Source organism: Homo sapiens, chromosome 19, assembly GCF_000001405.40.
Source record: "Homo sapiens chromosome 19, GRCh38.p14 Primary Assembly".
NCBI classification, from domain to species: Eukaryota; Metazoa; Chordata; class Mammalia; order Primates; family Hominidae; genus Homo; species Homo sapiens.
Window position 1 is genome coordinate 9,917,702 of NC_000019.10, and position 20,934 is coordinate 9,938,635.

The 20,934-nt window shown below is 49.7% G+C and overlaps 1 protein-coding gene across 1 annotated transcript in view, besides 2 other annotated features; it reads right to left on the reverse strand.

The window, feature by feature from the left end:
- Positions 1-18,814, reverse strand: part of OLFM2 (olfactomedin 2) — an 82,798-nt gene extending 63,984 nt beyond the window's left edge. Inside the window, exon 1 of the mRNA NM_058164.4 lies at positions 18,603-18,814. Coding sequence (NP_477512.1) covers positions 18,603-18,665 — 63 coding nt within the window. The 5' untranslated portion in view covers positions 18,666-18,814. The remainder of the gene's footprint in view (positions 1-18,602) is intronic.
- Positions 18,070-18,664: an enhancer, noted in NCBI's record as "H3K4me1 hESC enhancer chr19:10046447-10047041 (GRCh37/hg19 assembly coordinates)". NCBI's record gives its function as "activates a minimal SCP1, AML or CMV promoter by ChIP-STARR-seq in naive H9 embryonic stem cells {active_cell/tissue: H9 hESC(naive)}" and the evidence as "EXISTENCE:reporter gene assay evidence [ECO:0000049][PMID:30033119]".
- Positions 19,331-19,833: an enhancer, noted in NCBI's record as "H3K27ac-H3K4me1 hESC enhancer chr19:10047708-10048210 (GRCh37/hg19 assembly coordinates)". NCBI's record gives its function as "activates a minimal SCP1, AML or CMV promoter by ChIP-STARR-seq in naive H9 embryonic stem cells {active_cell/tissue: H9 hESC(naive)}" and the evidence as "EXISTENCE:reporter gene assay evidence [ECO:0000049][PMID:30033119]".

Genomic DNA, 20,934 nt, shown 5'->3' on the forward strand with positions numbered 1-20,934 from the left:
CTTCTCCCACTTAACCAATTCCCTGTATTAAATTTCCCCTCTCTGAAACACGTAGTTTGTTTCCCTAACAAGACCCTCAGTGATATGGTGATCTTATCCAAAGGACCTTCCCTGGCCACCTCATCTACAATCTGAACACCCCACCACTCTGTGCCACTTACCCTACTTTAGTTGTTTTTTGTTTTGTTTTGTTTTGAGATGGAGTCTCGCTCTGTTGCCCAGGTTGGAGTGCAGTGGTGAAATCTCTGCTCACTGCAACCTCCATCTCCTGGGTTCGAGTAATTCTCGTGCCTCAGCCTCCCAAGTAGCTGGGTTTACAGGTGCATGCCACCATGCCTGGGTAATTTTTGTATTTTTAGTAGAGATGGGGTTTCACCATGTTGACCAGGCTGGTTTTGAACTCCTGACCTCTAGAGATCCACCCACCTCGGCCTCCCAAAGTGCTGGGATTACAGGCATGAGCCACCATGCCTGGCCACTTTAGTTCTTTTATCTTTTTTTTTAAGGCGAGGGGCTGGGCACTCTGTTGCCCAGGCTGGAGTGCAGTGGTGCAATCATAGCTCACTGCAACCTCAAACTCCTGGGCTCATGTGATCCTCCTACCTCAGCCTCCTGAATAGGTGAGACTACAGAGGCACACCACCGTGCCCAGCTAATTTTTTAAGTTTTCTGTAGAGATGGGGTCTCACTATGTTGCCCGGGCTGGTCTCAAACTCTTGGGCTCAGGCAATCCACCTGCCTCAGCCTCCCAAAATGCTGGGATTGTAGGCATAAGCCACCACGCCAGACCCTAAAACTCTTTTTAAAGACCCAGCAATTCCATCTACCCAAGAGAAACCAAAGCATATGTCTATGAAAAGACCTAAACATGAATATTCATAGCAGCATTGGTCATAATGAATGAAACAATCCAAAGACCCATCAACTGGTGAGTGAATAAACAAATTGCGGTACATCCATACAATGGAATGCCATTCCACCATAAAAAGGAATTTGCTCCTGATATATGCTACAATGTGGATGATCCTCAAAAACATTTTGCTAAGTAAAAGGAGCCAGACGCAAAAGACCACATAGTTTATGATTCTATTTATACATAATGTCCAGGGACAGCAAATCAATACAGACAGAAAGTAGACGAGAGATTGCCTGCAAGTGGGGGTGGGAGTGGAGATGGAATGCAAATGGGCACGGGGGCTGTTTTGGAGGTGATGAAAATGTCCTAAAATTGGATCGGGGTGATGGCTGCACAACTCTGTAAATTTACGAAAAGTCACTCAATTGCACGCTTACACAGGTGAATTTTATGCTCTGTAAATTATACCTCCATAAAACTGCTGAAAAGGGAAGATCCACCAGGCACGGTGGCTCACGCCTGTAATCCCAGCACCTTGGGAAGCTGAAGCGGGAGAATTGCTTGAAGCCAGGAGTTTGAGACCAGCCTGGGCAACGCAGTGAGACCTCATTTCTCTCTCTTTTTTTTGAGATGGAGTCTCGCTCTGTCACCCAGGCTGGAGTGCAATGGGATGATCTCGGCTCACTGCAAGTTCCGCTTCCCAGGCTCATGCCATTCTCCTGCCTCAGCCTCCGGAGTAGCTGGGGCTACAGGCGCCTACCACCACGCCCGGAGAATTTTTTATATTTTTAGTGGAGATGGGGTTTCACTGTGTTAGCCAGGATGGTCTCGATCTCCTGACCTCGTAATCCACCTGCCTCGGCCTCCCAAAGTGCTGGGATTTACAGGCATGAGACACCTTGCCCGGCCGAGACCTCATTTCTTCCTATTCATTTATTTATTTGAGACAGAGTCTCGCTCTGTCACTCAGGCTGGAGTGCAGTGGCCTGATCTTGGCTCACTGCAACCTTCCCCTCTGGGTTCAAGTGATTCCCTTACCTCAGCCTCCTGAGTAGCTGGGATTACAGGTGCACGCCACCACACCTGGCTAGTTTTTGTATTTTTAGTAGAGATAGCATTTTGCCACATTGGCCAGGCTGGTCTCAAACTCCTGACCTCAGGTGATCCTCCTGCCTCGGCCTCCCAAAGTGCTGGGATTACAGGCATAAGCCACCACACCTGGACCACTGCCATTTTTTTTTTTTTTTTTTTTTTTGAGACAGAGTCTTGCTCTGTCACCCAGGTTGGAGTGCAGTGGTGAGAGCTCGGCTCACTGCAATCTGTGCCTCCAGGGTTCAAGTGATTCTCGTGCCTCAGCCTCCTGAGTAGCTGGGATTACAGGGGCAAGCCACCATGCTCAGCTAATTTTTGTATTTTTTTTTTTTTTTAGTAGAGGTAGGGTTTCACCATGTTGGCCGGCTGGTCTCGAACTCCTGACCTCAGGTGGTCTGCCCACCTTGGCCTCCCAAAGTGCTAGGATTACAGCTGTAAGCCACCACACCTGGCCCCTCCCCACCAAAAAAATTTTTTTAAGTAGCTGGGCATGGTGGCATGTCCCTGTAGTACCAGCTACTTGGGAGACTGAGGTGGGAGGATCGCTTAAGCCCAAGTGTTTGAGGCTGCAGTGAGCTATGATGGCACCTCTGCACTCCAGCCTGGGCAACAGAGCAAGACCCTGCCTGTACAAAAGGGGGAGGCATTTTTAAACTTTACTTGCAAGCTCCCTCTTTGAGGTGCCCTGCACTGTACTAACACAAGAATAGGTGTCTCCTTAAATTTTGAGCCCAAGATTCCTTGCTTGCATCACCCTGGTCCTGGCAATGATGTACCCACGGTCAGAAATGAGAGATTATTTACTTTTTACCCCTCCTTCTCCATCACTCCTCTTCTATTCAAACCAGCACCAGAGCCAGCTAATCCTGATGCAGAAATATCTCAAGAAAGTGTCCCCTCTTCCCCATCATCATCACTGTGAACATCGTGCTGGTAAGCCACTGAAAAAAAATGTTTCTTCTGGGGCTAGGCGCGGTGGCTCATGCCTGTAATCCCAGCACTTTGGAAGGCTGAGGTAGGCAGATCACTTGAGGCCAGGAGTTCGAGACCACCCTGGCCAACATGGCAAAACTCTGTGTCTACTAAACATACAAAAAAAAAAAAAAAAGTAGCCAGGTGTGGTGGCACAGACCTGCAATCCCAGCTACTTGGGAGGCTGAGGCAGGAAAGTTATTTGAACCTGGGAGGCAGAGGTTGCTGTGAGCAGAGATCACACCACTGTACTCCAGCCTGGGCAACAGAGTGAGACTCCATCTTGAAAAAAAAAAAAGTTTATTTCCCTTGAAATTTCTGGGTGGTAAAAAACTCGTAACTGTTGGAAAAATATCAATAATTGCTGAGATTTATTTAGTACTATCATGTTCCAGACACCATTTGCAGCAAAGTACATGTAACAACTCATTTAACCCTCAGAATACCTATATGCAACAGACAGAATTATAATTTTCTTTTGTTTGTTTTGGGATTTTGTTGTTGTTGTTTTGAGACAGGGTTTTGCCTACCGTCACCCAGGCTGGAGTGCAGTCACATGATCATACTTCACTGTAGCCTCAACCTCCCTGGCTCAAGCGATCCTTCTGCCTCAACCTTCCGAGTAGCTGGGACTACAGTCACATGCCACCATGCTTGGCTAATTTTTTTTTATTTTTGGTAGAAACAGGGTCTTGCCATGTTGCCCAGGCTGGTCTCAAACTCCTGGGCTCAAGCGATCCCCTTGCCTCAGCTTTTCAAAACACTGGGAAGACAGGCATGAGCCACTGCACCCAGCTAGGCAAAGGTTTTTAAAATAGGACACTAATAAGCACTAGCCATGAAAGAAAAAATTATTTGAACTACATTAAATTTTTTTTTTTTTTTGAGACGGAGTCTCACTCTGTCACCGAGGCTGGAGTGCAGTGGCATGATCTTGGCTTGCTGCAAGCTCTGCCTCCCGGGCTCATGCCATTCTCCTGCCTCGGCCTCCCAAGTAGCTGGGACTACAGGCGCCCGCCACCACACCTGGCTATTTTGTATTTTTAGTAGAGACGGGGTTTCACCATATTAGCCAGGACGGTCTTGATCTCCTGACCTCGTAATCCGCCCACCTCGGCCTCCCAAAATGCTAGGATTACAGGCATGAGCCACCACACCCAGCCTGAACTACATTAAAATTAAGAAATCCTGGCTGAGTGCAGTGGCTCACGCCTGTCATCCCAGCACTTTGGGAGGCCGGGGCGGGAGGATGGTTTGAACCCAGGAATTTGAGACCAGCCTGGGCAACACGGTGAAACACCATCTCTAAAAAAACTACAAAAATTAGCTGGGTGTGGTGGTGTGCACCTATAGCTCCAGCAACTCGGCAGGCTAAGGTGGGAAGATCGCTTGAGCCCGGGAGATCGAGGCTGCAGTGAGCCGTAATTGCACCACTGCACTCCGGCCTGGGCAACAGAGTGAGACCCTGTCTCAAAAAAAAAAAAAAGAAATGAAATGAAATTAAGGAATTCTATTGATTAAAAGACACCACTAAGAGAATGAAAAGAAAAGCTACAGAGAAGATATTTGCAGTCATTATGTCCAATAAAAATCTCATATCCTGATTTTATAGTTATGTAAAATATGAATATGTATCTATGTAAAATCTAGATACACACACACACACACACACATTCCTACAAATCAGTAAGAAAAAACCAGACATCTGAACAGAGAAGTGGGCAAAAGACTTAGACATTTCACAAAAGTGGATATCCAAGTTGTCAATAAACATATGCAAAGGCACTTAATTCATCATCAGGCACATCACTCATCATCAGGAAATGTAAATGAAACCCACAATGTTCCCAGCACTTTAGGAAGCTAAGGTGGGAGGATCACTTGAGCCCAGGAGTTGGAGACCAGCCTAGGCAGCATAACCAGACCCTGACTCAAAAAAACAAAAATAAATTTATAAATAAACCCACAATGCAATACTATTTGGCACCCATCAGAATGTCTAAAACTAAAAAAAGGCCAGGCACAGTGGCTCATACCTGTAATCCCAGTACTTTGGGAGGCCAAGGTGGGTGGATTGCTTGAGCTCAGGAGTTCCAGATTAGCCTAGGCAACAGGGCAAAACCCCGTCTCTACAAAAAAATTCGCCAGGAGTGGTGCTGCATGCCTGTGGTTCTAGCTACTTGAGAGGCTGAGGTGGGAGGATCGCTTGAGCCTGGGAGGTTGAGGTTGCAGTGAGCACAGATCGTGCCACAGCACTCCAGCCTGGGTGACAGAGTGAGACCCTGTCTCAAAAAAAAAAAAAAAGAAAGAAAAAAAGAAAAGAAAAGAAAAAGAAAGACAACACCAAGTGTTGGGGAGGATATGGAGCAACTGGAACACTTCATACACTACTGGTGGAAGAGTTGTTGACTTTTTGGAAGAGTCTCTGAAACTTTGGAAGACTGTACAGCAGTTTCTCCCTATGACCCAGCAATTCCACTCCTACATATATACAGTTGAGCTTCATGATTCGAAAATTCCAGATTGGCAAATTTGCCTACTTGTTGCAATTTGTTTATACTCTAAGATCAATACTCGCTGGGGCATTTGTGGTCATTTGTGGACATGCACAGTGATAATTTTTTTTTTCTTGCTTAGAAACAGGGTGGAGTAGCTGGGCACGGTGGCTCATGCCTGTAATCCCAGCACTTTGGGATGCCAAGGTGGGCAGATCACTTGAGGTCAGGAGTTCAATACCAGCCTGGCCAACATGGTGAAATCCTGTCTCTACTAAAAATACAAAAATTAGCCAGGTATGGTGGGTGCACACCTGTAATCCCAGATGCTTGGGAAGCTGATGCACAAGAATTGCTTGAACCTGGGAGGCAGAGGTTGTAGTGAGACAAGATCATCGCCACTGCACTCCAGCCTAGGCAACAAAGTGAGACTGTCTCAGGAAAAAAAAAAAAAGAAAGAAAAGAAAGAAAGAAAGAAGGAAAGAAAGGAAAGAAGGAAAGAGAGAGAGAGAGAAGGAAAGAAAAGGAAAGGAAAGGAAAAGAAAAGAAAGAAAAAAGAAAAGAAAAGAAAGAAAAAAGAAAAGAAAAGAGTGCAGTGGTGGGATTGCCTTTACCTCCTGGGCTCAAGCGATCCTCCCAAGTAGCTGGGACTTCAGGCATGCAGCACCACACTTAGCTAATTAAACAAATTTTTTTTGTAGAGCTGGGCGTGGTGCCTCACGCCTGTAATCCCAGCACTTTGGGAGGCTAAGGCAGGTGGATTACCTGAGGTCAGGAGTTCGAGACCAACCTGGCCAACATGTCGAAACCCCATCTCTACTAAAAATACAAAAATTAGCCGGGCTTGGTGGTGTGTGCCTGTAATCCCAGCTACTCGGGAGGCTGAGGCTCAAGAATCACTTGAACCCACGAGGTGGAGGTTGCAGTGAGCCGAGGTCGTACCACTGCATTTCAGCCTGGGCAACAGAGCAATAACCTCGTCTCTACAAAAAAAAAAAAAAAAAAAAAAAAAGCCCGGGCGCAGTGGCTCACACCTGTAATCCCAGCACTTTGGGAGGCCAAGGCAGGCAGATCACGAGGTCAGGAGATCGAGACCATCCTAACACGGTGAAACCCCGTCTCTACAAAAATACAAAAAAATTACCTGGGCGTGGTGGCGGGCGCCTGTAGTCCCAGCTATTCGGGAAGCTGAGGTAGGAGAATGGCGTGAACCCGGGAGGCGGAGCTTGCAGTGAGCCAAGATCACACCACTGCACTCCAGCCTGGGCGACAGAGCGAGACTCTGTCTCCAAAAAAAAAAAAAAAAAAAAAAAAAAATTGTTTTTGAAATGGAGGTCTCGCTCTGTCGCCCAGGCTGGTCTCGAACTCCTGGGCTGAAGCCATCCTTCCGCCTTGGCCACCCAAAGCACTGGGATTATGGGCGTGAGCCATTGCTCCCGGCCTGACAACATACTCAGTCACCCAACCCTGTTGAGGTCTAATAAGGAGACACTCTGCTTTCTTCCTCCAGCTCTGATACTACATGCAAGTGTCTTTTTTATGGTCCATTTAGTGCCAAGCTTTTCATATTTTTGTGCTGTTTGTTGGTGACTCTGCTATCTTCAGTGGCCCCCACGCACCGTGCTGAAGTGTAGTCTAGTGTTTCTAAGTCAAGAAGGCCGTGACGTGTGTCACGGAGAAAAGACGTGTTACAGAAGCTTCATTCAGGCATCAGATCTAGTGCTATTGGCCGGGAGTTCAATGTTAATGAATCAAAAAATAAATATATATGTGATATATATATATATATGCGTGTATATATATAGATATGATTGATATATATATATGATATTCTAAAACAGAAACACACATAAAACAAAGTTATGGCTGGGCGCCGTGGCTCATGCCTGTAATCCCAGCACTTTGGGAGGCTGAGGCAGGCAGATCGTTTGAGCCCAGGAGTTGGAGACCAGCCTGGGCAACATGGTGAAATCCTAGCTCTACAAAAAATTAGCCAGGCCTGGCGGTGCATAGTCCCAGCTACTCAGCGTGTTGGGAGGCTGAGGTGGGAGAATGGCTTGAGTCCGGAAGGCGGAGGCTGCAGTGAGCCTAGATCACACCACCGCACTCTAGCCTGGGGGACAGAGTGAGACCCTGTCTAAACAAAACAAAACAAAAAAAGTTATATATTATTCAGTTGACAAAAACGTTGTGGTCAGAGGCTTTTGACAAAAATAGCAAGTGTTGGTGAGGATGTGGAAAAATAGGAACCCTTTGTGGGAATGTAAAATAGCGCAGTCGCCGTAGAAAACATTATCGTAGTTCTTCAAAAACTTAAAACATAGTTACCATATGACCCAGCAATACTTTTTCTTTTTTGAGACAGGATCTTACCCTGTCACCCAGGCAATGGTACAATCATGGCGCACTGCAGCCTTGACCTCCTGGGCTCAAGTAATCCTCCCACCTCAGCCTCCCAAGTAGCTGGGACCACAGGCACAGCTAATTTTTGTATTTGTTGTAGAGACACGGTTTCACCATGTTGCTGAGGTTGGTCTCAAACTCCTGGGCTCAAGCAATCCACCCACCTCAGCCTCCCAATTGCTGGGATTACAGGTGTGAGCCACCGCGCCTGGCCCAGCAATGCCACTTCTGAATACGTACACAAAAGAATTGAACTCAGTGTCTCAAAAAGATATTGGTACACCCGTGATCATAGCAGTATTATTCAAAAAAGCCCAAAGGTGAAAACAACCAGGCCGGGCGCGGTGGCTCACACCTGTAATCCTAGCACTTTGGAAGGCTGAGGTGAGAGGATTGCTTCAGGCCAGGAGTTGAAGACCAGCTTGAGCAAGATGACAAGACCCCATCTCTACAGAAAAAATTTAAGAATTAGCCAGCCGTGGTGGCATGCACCTGTAGTCCCAGCTACTTGGGAGGCTGAGGTGGAAGGATCCCTGGAGCCCAGGAGATAGAGGTTGCAGCGAGCTGTGATGGTGCCACTGCACTCCAGCCTGAGTGATGGAGAGAGACCTCCTCTGTAACATTAAGACTTTTTTTTAAAAAAAAGCTGAAAACAACCCAGTGTCTATTTATTGATGAATGAATGGATAAACAAAATGTGGTATATCCATACATGGAATATGATTCAGCCTTTAAAAGGATGGAAATTCTAGGCCAGGCATGGTGGCTCACGCCTGTAATTCCAGCACTTTGGAAGGCTGAGGCGGGCGGATCACGAGGTCGGGAGATCGAGACCATCCTGGCTAACATGGTGAAACCCCATCTCTACTAAAAATACAAAAAATTAGCCGGGCGTGGTGGCGGCCGCCTGTAGTCCCAGCTATTCCGGAGGCTGAGATGGGAGAATCGCTTGAATCTGGGAGGCGGAGCTTGCAGTGAGCTGAGATCGCGCCACTGCACTCCAGCCTGGGACAGAGAGCGAGACTCCATCTCAAAAATAAATAAATAAATAAATAAATGACTAAAGTGATAAATTTTATATTATGTGTATTTTACCACAATTAAAAATTTTTAAAGTCTTCCATTTAAACATGCACAACCTCTTCTATGAGTCACTATTACCAGCTCACTAAATTCTAGGCCAAGTGCAGTGGCTCACGCCTGTAATCCCAGCAGTTTGGGAGGCTGAGGCAGGAAGATCTTATGAGCCCAGGAGTTCAAGACCGGCCTGGACAATATAGTGAGACCCTGTCACTACAAAAAATAAACAAAAAAAATTATGTGGGCATGGTGGCACACGCCTGTGGTCCCAGTGACTCAGGTGGCTGAGGTGGGAGGATTGCCTGAGCACAGGAGTTTGAGGCTGCAGTGAGCTGTGATCGCGTCACTGCACTCCAGCCTGGGCAACAGAGCAAGACTCTATCTCTAAAAATAAATAAATAAGGTCCAGCACGGTGGCTGACGCCTGTAATCCCAGCACTTTAGGAGGCCGAGGCAGGCAGATCACGAGGTCAGGAGTTTGAGACCAGCCTGGCCAACATGGTGAAATCCTGTCTCTACTAAAAATACAAAAATTAGCCAGGCGTGGTAGCACGCGCCTGTTAACCCAGTTCCTTGGGAGGCTGAGGTAGGAGAATTGCTTGAACCTGGGAGGGGAGGGTTGCAGTGAGCTGAGATCGCACCACTGCACTCCAGCCTGGGCGACAGAGCGAGGCTCTGTCTCGAAAAAAATATAAATAAATAAATGAATAAATAAATTCTAAAATCCTTAACCCAGCTTTCGAAGCCTTTACAGTCAGATCACAACCTTTTCAAGCTCACTTCCCTTCTCCTATCTGCACCCACCATAGGCATCAACCACACACTTACCCTAGTTCCCATTTCCAGAAACTTCCCCTCTTTTAAACATGGTTAGAATCATGTAAAATAAGGGTAAACCCACCAGGTCTTGTCAGCATGACCAATGACTTTCTTCTGTGTCCACCCTCCAGTCTTCACTCGCTCATCCTTCAAGGCCCATCTCAAATGCCACCTCCCCCAGGAAGCCCACTTGACTCTTGACATCTGGCACTTTGTACCATGTGTCGGCTGCATCTGTCTCCCAAATTTGGCAACTGACAGCCATTCAGAGCGGACTGTGTCACGTCCCTCCTGAGTGAGTGAGTGCCTCTATCAGTGTCTTTCTCATAGAAATTACTAGAGAAATTAGGAACAGAAACAATGTGGGCCGGGTGCAGTGACTCATGCCTGTAATCCCAGCACCTTGGGAGGCTGAGGCGGATCACTTGAGGTCAGGAGTTCGAGACCAGCCTGAACAATATTGTGAAACCCTGTCTCTACTAAAAATACAAAAATTAGCTGGGCCCTGTGGCTCATGCCTGTAATCCCAGCACCTTGGGAGGCTGAGGCAAGAGGATCACTTAAGGCCAAGAGTTCAAGACCAGCCTGGGCAACATAGTGAGACCCCCATCTCTACCAAAAAAAAGAAAAAGAAAGAGAAAAATTAGCTGGATGTAGTGGTACACACCTGTAGTCCTAACTATTTGAGAGGCTAAGGTAGGAGGATCACTTGGGCCAAGGAGGTTGAGGCTACAGTGGGCTGTGGTCACACCACTCCACTCTAGCCTGGTCAACAGAGCAAGACCCTGCGTCTTAAAAAAAAAAAAACAAAATAAAATTTAAAAAGAACCCGGCTCACCATGTGCTCATCATGTATTCTTCCTGGGATTCACCAGGACTCTCTTAGAGCCTAAAAAGTGAGAAGCTATTTGCCATTTCATTTGATGGCTGAACTGGCTTTGCCTTTTTGTTTCTTTCTTCTTGTGCAATGACACCTGTCTTCTCATCTATTAAGCAAGGCTAGTTACTAGCTGCCCAGGATTGTTGGAACTATGTGTAAAGTAAGAGTAAACTGGGACCGAGAGTCTACTGGGTCCCCAGGAGCAACAAGAACAACCTTTTCCAGGCTGGATGCAGTGGCTCATGCCTGTAATCCCAGCACTGAGGGAGGCCAAGGTGGGTGGATCACTTGAGGCCAGGAGTTCAAGACCAGCCTGGGCAACATGGCAAAACCCCGTCTCTATTAAAAATACAAAAACTAGCCAGGCATGGTGGTGCACGCCTGTAGTCCCAGCTACTTGGGTGGCTGAGGCATGAGAATTGCTTGAACCCAGGAGGCAGAGGTTGCAGTGAGATGAGATCGTGCCACTGCACTCCAGACTGGGCGACAGAGTGAGACTCTGTCTAAAAAAAAAAAAAAGAGAGAAAGAGAATAAGCTTTTGTATACAGTCTTCATGGAATCTACTCTCCCTACTCTCTGCTCTTTCCTGGTGACTTCTTGGTTTGTGGCTGCACTCTGGATGGATGAAGTTGCAAGACACACTGAGGTGGTGTGCACCTGTAATCCCAACTACTTGGGAGGCTGAGGCAGGAGAATTGCTTAAGCCCAGGAGTTCGAGGCCTGCCTGGGCACCATGGCAAGACCCCATCTCAAAAAGAAAAAAAGAGATAGAATGGGCTTCCACCTTGGCAGGGAGGACATGTCAATGTTCTCAGACAAGAGTTCCCTAGATATGGGAATAAAATGTTCCTGTCATGACAAGTTTTTTCCCAACACAGCCAGACTCAACTCCTCCAGAAGTTAAATCTACTCCACCCCTTGAAAGCACAAACTACCACCCAGTGCTTGTTGCATAGTACAACGCTTGAGATACAGAAGGCTCTCAATGAATGCTCTCTAAATGAATACATGGGCCGGGCGCGGTGGCTCACACCTGTAATCCCAGCACTTTGGGAGGCTGAGGCGGGTGGATCACCTGAGGTCAGGAGTTTGAGACCAGCCTGAACAACAATATAGAGAAACCCTGTCTCTACTAAAAATGTAAACATTAGGTGGGTGTGGTGGTGTGTGCCTGTAGTCCCAGCTACTTGGGAGGCTGAGGCGGGAGAAGAGCTTGAACTCGGGAGGTGGAGGTTGCAGTGAGCCGAGATTGCACCACTTCACGCCAGCCTGGGCGACAGAGTGAGACCCCGTCTCAAAATAAAATAAAATAAAATAAAATAAAATAAATGAATACATGCATGTAGGAACAAATGAAAACAGCACATTACTGTCTCTCAGGCACTAACACTGAATCCTGGGGCTACAAAGTCATTGCCCACACCAGCCACTGGGCTCATCAGAAACCCACACATACCAGGCCAGGCGTGGTGGCTCACGCCTGTAATCCCAGCATTTTGGGAGGCTGAGGCAGGCAGATCACCTGAGGTCAGGAGTTCGAGACCAACCTGACCAACATGGAGAACCCTCGTCTCTACTAAAAATACAAAATTAGCTGGATGTGGTGGTGCATGCCCGTAATCCCAGCTACTCGGGAGGTTGAGGCAGGAGAATCACTTGAACCCAGGAGGCAGAGGTTGCGGTGAGCCGAGATCGCGCCACTGACCTCCAGCCTGGGCAACAAGAGCGAAACTCCATCTCAAAAAAAAAAAGAAAGAAAGAAAGAAATCCACACATACCATATGGTTGGCCTACATGGATACAGTCACTGGTGTGATGATGATACAAGCATGTCCCTGTGCTCATGGTCCCTGAACATGCACACAGTCACCAAACATACACATACACGCATGACACCACAGACACATGCCTATGGGGCCAAAGTTAGAGTGAGGCAAGTTATGCAAGTGCAGAGGGGGAGCCCATATTTATTTAAAAATTTGTTTTTATTCATTATAGATTTTTCTTGCATCAATTTAGATTTTTCTTAAAATGTTCCATTAAAATATTATTTATCTTGGTTACTGGTTTTTATTTTTTTGGGGGGCATACCCTTAAATTTTGTACTATAGCTGAACTCTGTACCATGTACCTGTCACCCTAGCTACTCAGGAGGCTGAGGCAGAAGAATCACTTGAGCCCAGGAGTTGGAGGCTTCAGTGAGCTATGACTGCACCACTGCACTCCAGCATGGGTGACAGAACAAGACCCCGTCTTAGAAATAGGCCCGGCACCGTGGCTCACGCCTGTAATCCCAGCACTTTGGGAGGCCAAGGCGGGCAGATCATCTGAGGTCTGGAGTTCGAGACCAGAGTGGGCAACGTGGTGAAACCCTGTCTCTATTAAAAATACAAAAAAAAAAAAATTTAGCCGGCTGTGGTGCTGTGCGCCTATAATCCCAGCTACTCGAGAGGCTGAGCAGGAGAATCGCTTGAACCCGGGAGGCAGAGATTGCAGTGAGCCGAAATCGCACCACTGCACTCCAGTGTGGACGACACAGCAAGACTCTGTTTCAAATATCATCATCATCATCATCATCAACTTTTTAAAATGTTTGCACCCGCGGCGAGTATCTCACCTGTTTTACCCTGACCTGGGCACCCCCATCCCACATACGCACGCGCCCACGCACAGGTGCACAACCACACACATTCACCCACCAGTCACACAGACGCACACAGTCCCTGCACAAACCTCACTCGACCACTAGATGTCGCTCAAGCTCCATAATCTTAAATCCAGCCCCAAGGGGCTCTTTCCTACACTAACTCGGAGTCTTTAAATTTCCTTTTACTTCCCTCCACTGGGACATTTACATGCTCTAAAGGAGCCCCAGGAGAACATCGTCTTACCCCTAAACAACAGTGCCCTATCGGTGGAATGTCAGGCACAGGTAAAGAAGATGGGTTTTCTTTCTTTCTTTTTTGTGGAGACAGGGTCTCAGTCTGTCGCCCAAGCTGGAGTGCAGTAGTGCAATGATAGCTCACTGCAGCCTCAAACTCCTGGGCTCAAGTGATCTTCACACCTCAGCCTCCTGAGTAGAACTACAAGCCTGGCCAATTTTTTTTAAAGTTACTGCAGAGGCCGGGCACGGTGGCTCACGCCTGTAATCCCAGCAGTTTAGGAGGCCGAGGCAGACAAATCAAGATGTCAGGAGTTCGAGACCAGCCTGGCCAAAATGGTGAAACCCCATCTCTACTAAAAATACAAAAATTAGCTGGGTGTGGTGGCACGCCCCTGTAGTCCCAGCTACTCGGGAGGCTGAGGCACTAGAATCTCTTGAGCCCGGGAGGCAGAGGTTGCAGTGAGCTGAGATCATCACAATACTGTACTGTACTCCAGCATGGGTGACAGAACAAGACTCCATCTCAAAAATAAAAAAAAAAAAAGAAATAAAAAGAAAAAGTTATTGTAGAGATGGGATCTTGCTGTATTGCCCAGGCTGGTCTCAAATTCCTGGCCTCAAGAGACCCTCTGGCTTTGGTCTCCCAAAATGCTGGGATCATAGGTATCAGCCATCACACCTGGCCTGAAGAATGGATTTTCTTGGTGCCTTCCATCCAGGAGCGAGTGTTCCCCTGACACTCTCTTGATAAAAGAATCCTGTGGTTTGAGAAAGAAAGACACTCTGTGTGTGTGAGGGGGTCCATCCATCCATCCATTCATCCATTCAGCAGATATTTCTTGAGCACCTACTGTGTGTCAGGCTCTGCTCTAGACACTGGAGAAACAACAAAGCTAGCTGAACCCTGATAAACTGCCGCTCTAGTGGGGAAACAGAGAATGAATGAATAGAAGAATCATAGAAATGTGGAAACGAGGGCTATAAAGAAAAATATGGCCGGGCGTGGTGGCTCATGCCTATAATCCCAGCACTTTGGGCGGCAGATCACCTGAGGTCAGGAGTTCAAGACCAGCCTGGCCAACATGGTGAAACCCTGTCTCTACTAAAAATACAACAAAAACTAGCTGGGCATCAGGTGGCACGTGCCTGTAGTCCCAGCTACTCGGGAGGCTGAGGCACGAGAATCACTTGAACCGGTGAGGCAAAGCTTGCAGTGAGCCGAGATTGCGCCACTGCACTCCAGCCCAGGCAACAGAGTGAGACTCAGTCTCAAAAAAAAAAAAAAAAAGAAAGAAAGAGAGAGAAAGAAAAAGAACACGGAGTAAGCACTCAGAGAGTGGCAGCAGGGGGCTATTTCACTTAGCTGTTCAGGGTGAGCCTCTTGGAGGAGGTGACATTTAAGCAGAAATCAGAGATAAATAGCTACCAGGGGGAACAGTGTCACAGGCAGAGGGAACAGCAAGTGTGAAGTCCCTGAGGCACGTGATCTAAACTGAATTATTCCTTCTCCCCATCCTCTGAAAGCCCCAGGAAAGAGTTGGTCCCAAACCCAGATAGTGCCAACGATGTAGCTAGATCTTAGGGAGGCCTTCGCAGGGATCAGGAAGGCATCTTTTCCACAAGGAAAATAGTGGGGCTCAGAACTGTCAAGCTCTCTGGTAGTCACTCCCAGGCCAGAACCCAGAACATCTTGGATAGATCCTGGATGAATGGACAATGCCTCTGACAGGCCCTGCTTTCCTGTTCTCCTGCTCTCTGGGTCAAATCCAAACTTCTGCCCACAGCTTACAAGTTCCTAAGTGGTCTGGCTTCCCCGGCCTCATCTCCCCGCGACCTCTCCAGCCACACCAGCGTCCACACTGCTTCTGAAACTCACCAAGCTTGTTCTTACCCCAGGGCCTTTGCACCTTCTGTTCCTCCCACCTTCAATGCTCTTCCCCCAGACACCCACAAGGCTCCCTCTCTCACCTCCTTCAGATGTCACCTGAAACACTACTTCCTTAGAGACACCTTCCCTGACCACACTGGCTCAAATAGCCCCCACCTTGTAATCTTTTTCTGTTTTTTTGCTTTGAGACAGTCTTGTTCTGTTGCCTAGGCTGGAGTGCAGTGGCATGACCTTGGCTCACTGGAACCTCTGCCTCCCAGGTTCAAGCAATTCGCCTGCCTCAGCCTCCTGAATAGCTGGGACTACAGGTGTGCAACACCACACCTGGCTAATTTTTTGCATTTTTAGTAGAGACGGGGTTTCACCATGTTGGCCGGGCTGGTCTCAAACTCCTGACCTCAAGTGATCCACTCACCCTGGCCTCCCAAAGTGCTGGGATTACAGGCGTGAGCCTCCATGCCCGACTGCTATCACTCTAATCTTTTTTTTTTTTTTTTTTTTTTGAGACAGAGTTTCACTCTTGTTGTCCAGGCTGGAGTGCAATGGCGATCGCAGCTCACCGCAACCTCTGCCTCCCAGGTTCAAGCAATTCTCCTGCCTCAGCCTCCCTAGTAGCTGGGATTACAGGCGCCTGCCACCACACCCAGCTAATTTTTTGTATTTTTAGTAGAGACAGGGTTTCACTATGTTGGCCAGGCTGGTCTCGAACTCCTGACCTCAGGCGATCCACTTGCCTCAACTTCCCAAAATGCTGGGATTACAGGCGTGAGCCACAGCACCCGGCTCCAGTCTAATCTTCTATACTTTATCTGTTATTCTTCATGCTACTTGCATTGTATTATATGTATATTTAGTTGCCGACACCGTATTACATGGTTATTCGGCTCTTTTCTGTCTCCTCTGCTAGGTCAACTCCAGGAGAGCAGGGATTTGATGACTCAGTTGGTGGCTGTATCCCCAGTGCATAATCATATCTGTTCATTGAATGGATTAACCAATGATTTCTAGGAAGGACCCCTGGGCCCATCAGGGACAGGGAAGAAGTCTTTGGAAAGTGATGGAGGGAGCGAAGAGTGGGTAGAGCATCCTCTCTGCAGACCCCTCCCTTCCCTGGGGTGCCAGGCTTGGTGGGCCAACGCCAAGGGGGTGTATGGGGCGCCGAGACTGTTTCACAACCATGTAGTTCCCGCGGTGGCCGCCTGGAGGCACTGCAGCCCGCGGCAGGATTCCACCAGCCCCGCCCTAACGGATTACCTCATTTGGCCACGCCCCCGTTGTCCTTTAGCCCCGCCTCCACTGACCTCGTTAGTCCCGCCCCCAAAGCAACTCCCTCCCAGCCCTGGGGGCTGTAGGAGTCACCCTCCAATTGCAATTCTGGCAGCAAACTCTGGCATCCTAGCCAATCTTGGTGAGAAGCCAGAAAATCTAGTGCCCCCCTAGCAGGGAGTGGAGGAGAAGCCACAGGGGGTGGTTCTCTGTCTCCTCTGCTAGGTCAAGGATAATTCAACTTGATTCCTGGCTCATTTTTTTTCCACTGGTTTCTCAAGTGTGTGCCTCTTTTGGTCTCTCGTCTCCCAGGTGTGTCTCTTGGCTTCTCTCAGGCTCACACATCCATTGAGTACCTATTGTGTGTGTCCTCATGCCTGGGGCTGGGCACACTCCCTATCCCACCCAGCGCGTGGGTGCTGAGATGCGTGGGGAAATGGAGGAGCGAGGGAGGGGACCCCACAATCTCTCCTCGTGGCCTGGAAATCCTTCTATCTGGAGTCTAACCTCCATTCCTCCCAACACCCCCCTCGGGGTGAGCACAAGGGTCTGATTCTTTTCTTGATAAGGGGAAGGTGCCCAAATTGTTTCTCCCCTGCCTATCTACCTAAAAGCCCACCTAGCAATGTCTTCACGGACGCTGTCCACACCCATGGAGCGGATTATTTAACAAGAGGGTAATCGTGTGGGCTCAGGAGCCGGACTGCCTCGGTTCAGTCCCACCTCTGTCACTCTCGAGCTTGAGCAAGTGATTTAACTTTTCTGCGCCTCAGTTTCCCCATCCATAAAATGAGGTAACAATACCATGCTCTAGTAGGGAGGAGGCAGAGGGGGTTAAATGCCTTAGTCTGTGCTGTGTGATTGAAACAGCACCTCTCAAATTAGCACGTAATGAATGATCACTGTTATCATAATGACTATTTTATTATTTTTGATCCCAGCTTCCCTGTGAACTCCTACAGATCTGAGAACTTGGGGGTGCTCTCACTCCCAAGATGGAGGAGGAGAGGGGCTTTCCAATAGCAAAAGAGAGCGTGGACGCCCCACATTTTGCAAGCCTCCCTGAGCCTGCCCAAGAGAAAGGTGCCATGGGGAGGGAGACCCGCTTCTGTAAGGGTATGAATGGCGTGTGCGGTTGTGAGCAAGGCACCAAGATACACACACACACGTGCATGGATGGACACGTTTGCACACACAGCGCTTGCACACACACACACCCTTTTAGAGTGATTTACCCAAAGGTACAGAATAGCACACGCTCACTCCAAGGCTCTCACACGGCCACACACCTGGCCACACACGTATTGTACAACACCCAGTCATCTGGAGCCAGTAATGAGGACACGGTCACACACAGACTCTGTCTCACGTACTGATCACACCCCAACTCGGGCACTAGTTGGACAAGCCCCCCAACCGCCACACACACAAACTCCCCCCGGTCACACCCAACCACGACACAAAGACACACACGTTTACCCTGCACCCCCACAGCATTTCACACGCGTCCCCGTCAGTCACTCTCACGTGAGTCCCGTCCCCTGCCCCACACTGGGGGCTGCAGGCGAGGAGTGGAGGGCTTCAGAAACTGGGCATCTCGGCCCCGAAGAGGAAGTCAAGGGTAAGCAACCGCCCCCCTCCAATGCCCCCTGAAGTTTCCCTCCCAACCCCATTCAGCTCCAGCGAGATGGCGGGGTGGGGGCTCGGGGCCATGGAGGGGTTGAGAACCCCAAAGACGCCACCCCCCAAACCAGCCCAGCTTGAGGCTGGATTTGAAGCCCCCCTCGTCCTCTCCCAAGCCAGAGAGTGCACGTCCCGGCCCCTCCCCCGCTGCGACCCCCGCCCCTCGCCGCCCTGCAGCTGGGGGGGCTTGTGGAGCCTCCCAACCCCGTTTCTCCGGGAACCCTCCGCGCCCCCCTCCTCTCCCGGAGCCACCCGCGCCCGCACCTGCCCGCCGGGCCCCTACCTGTCCGGCCAGGCCTGAGCACAGCAGCAGCAGCAGCGGCGGCGGGACCGTGAGCGGCCACATGACGCGCCCCTAGCCCGGCGTCCCGACCCCCGCCCGCCCTAGCGGCGCCTCGGCGCGGGGACCGCCACCAGGCGCGACCCCGCCCGCCCGGCCGGGGCGACCCTGCGCCGCCGCCTCCCCCGCCTCGCCGGCGGCCGGGATTCCGCCCCACCCCCGCCCCCTCGCTCGCTCCGAGTCTTTGTTGCGGGCTCCGCCCCCCGCCCCGCCCCCAGCTCCTCTTCGGGAGCAGCTCGAGCAGGGTCGGGTGGGGGGGTGGGGGCGGGGAAGTGGGGGAGCCAGCGCCGGCGAGGGGACCTGAGGACAGGACTTGGCAGCGCCCCCCAACCCCCAGGCCATTCCGGGAGCGGGTCGCGGAGGTGGGGGAGGGGTGCCCGTCACGTGTTTGTAAATTTCACCCTCCGGGGGCATTTCCCACGTTGCAGGTGGGACGGGGACGAATGGTTGGGGGAGAGGAATAGGAGGAAGGCCTGGTAGCAGAGAGGGGAAATGATGAACGCCCCCTCCCTAAAAACTCAAGAGTCAACAGGGAAACTGAGGCAGAATCTGAAATTGGAAGTTGGAGGAGGGGTCAATGCCAGGACAAGAGGGGTGAGGCATAGATGGAGACGGGGAATAAGAGGAAAAAATTGAGGTTGGGGGGACAGGAGACCGAGAATCAGGCAAGAGGCCAATGGAAATGGCCACGTGGGTGGGCTTGGCCTCAAAAAGGGGCGTCTCGTTTTCACTCTCCCCGGGCGCCCCATTTCCCCACCAGTCCTCCCGCTGGAAGCCTCCCCGCCTCCGCCACACCTGGAAGAGTTTCTCTTCGCTCCCTGTTTCAATAGCCCAAGATGAAAGACCACATCCCCCGAGAGAATCAAAATATTAACACCGCCTCCACGCGAAGCCATTTGCATATGAAGGGCGTCCTTGTCTAGCCTCACTTTCGGGAGGCTTTCCAGCCTTTCTCTGCCTCTCACTCCTCCAAAAGTCTCCCTAGGCCGGGCGCGGTGGCTCACGCCTGTAATTCCAGCAATTTGGGAGGCTGAGGAGGGTGGATCATCTGAGGTCAGGAGTTCAAGACCAGCCTGGCCAACATGGCAAAACCCCACCTCTACTAAAACATACAAAAATTAGCCGGGCGTGGTGGTGCATGCCTGGAATCCCAGCTACTCGGGAGGCTGAGACAGGAGAATCGCTTGAACCCGGGAGGCAGAGGTTGCAGTGAGCAGAGATCGTGCCATTGCACTCCAGCCTGGGCAACAGGAGCAAACCTTGTCTCAAAAAAAAAAAAAAAAAAAAAGTGTCCCTAGTCGTCTTTCCTCCCCACAGCCCCTCTAGGGATTCGGATATATGTAGGCAGAGGTGGAGGAGGGGGGCGGGCAAATAAGTCAGATTGGAAAGAAATCGGGCATAAAATATGCGAGGCCAGGAAGCCTGGCATTTTTGTGACCCTGATACTGTTGGGCTAGGAGGGGTCTCCCCAGACGCTGGTGGGGCCTCGACCCCAGCTGGTGTCCAGGCTCTTAACACCATCGCAAGAATGAATTCAAGGAGGAATCAGAAAATCATGAAAAGTTCGGAGATTTTTTTGTTAAGGGAAAAGTCCACACTTGAGAAAAGGGAGTGGGCGTACTTAAGAGAGAGAGATGGGCAAGGTGGTTTGGGACTGCTACCTTTATGTGTCTCTTTTTTTTTTTTTTTTTTTTTTTTTTTGAGACAAAGTCTCGCTCTGTCACCCAGGCTGGAGTGCAGTGGTGTGATCTCGGCTCACTGCAACCTCTGCCTCCCAGGTTCAAGCAATTCTCCTGCCTCAGCCTCCTGAGTAGCTGGGATTACAGGTGTGCGCCATCACAGCCGGCTAATTTTTTGTGTTTTTAGTAGAGACAGGGTTTCACCATATTGGCCAGCCTGGTCTCAAACTCCTGACCTCGTGATCCACCCGCCTTGGCCTCCCAAAGTGCTGAGATTACAGGCGTGAGCCACCACAACAGGCCACTGTGTATCTCTTTAACCAAGGGATGGAATATTCATGAAAACTGGAAAAAGGTGGACTGTGGTGCCACCCACTTTTACACCAAATTTGGGTGTCCCTGGAATTGTCAAGGGCGCTGGTGGGTGGGTAATTTTAGTATTTTAATGAGTACATAATGAGATCCTAGGTGAAACCTAGGTAGAATGTAACGCCATGTTGGGTCCAGTAGGTCTTAGCCAGCTTGGTCCACACCCTGGTTTTCAGGATCTTATCAGCCCATAGCCTCTAGTCATGTGAAACGGCTGCCTGTGACCA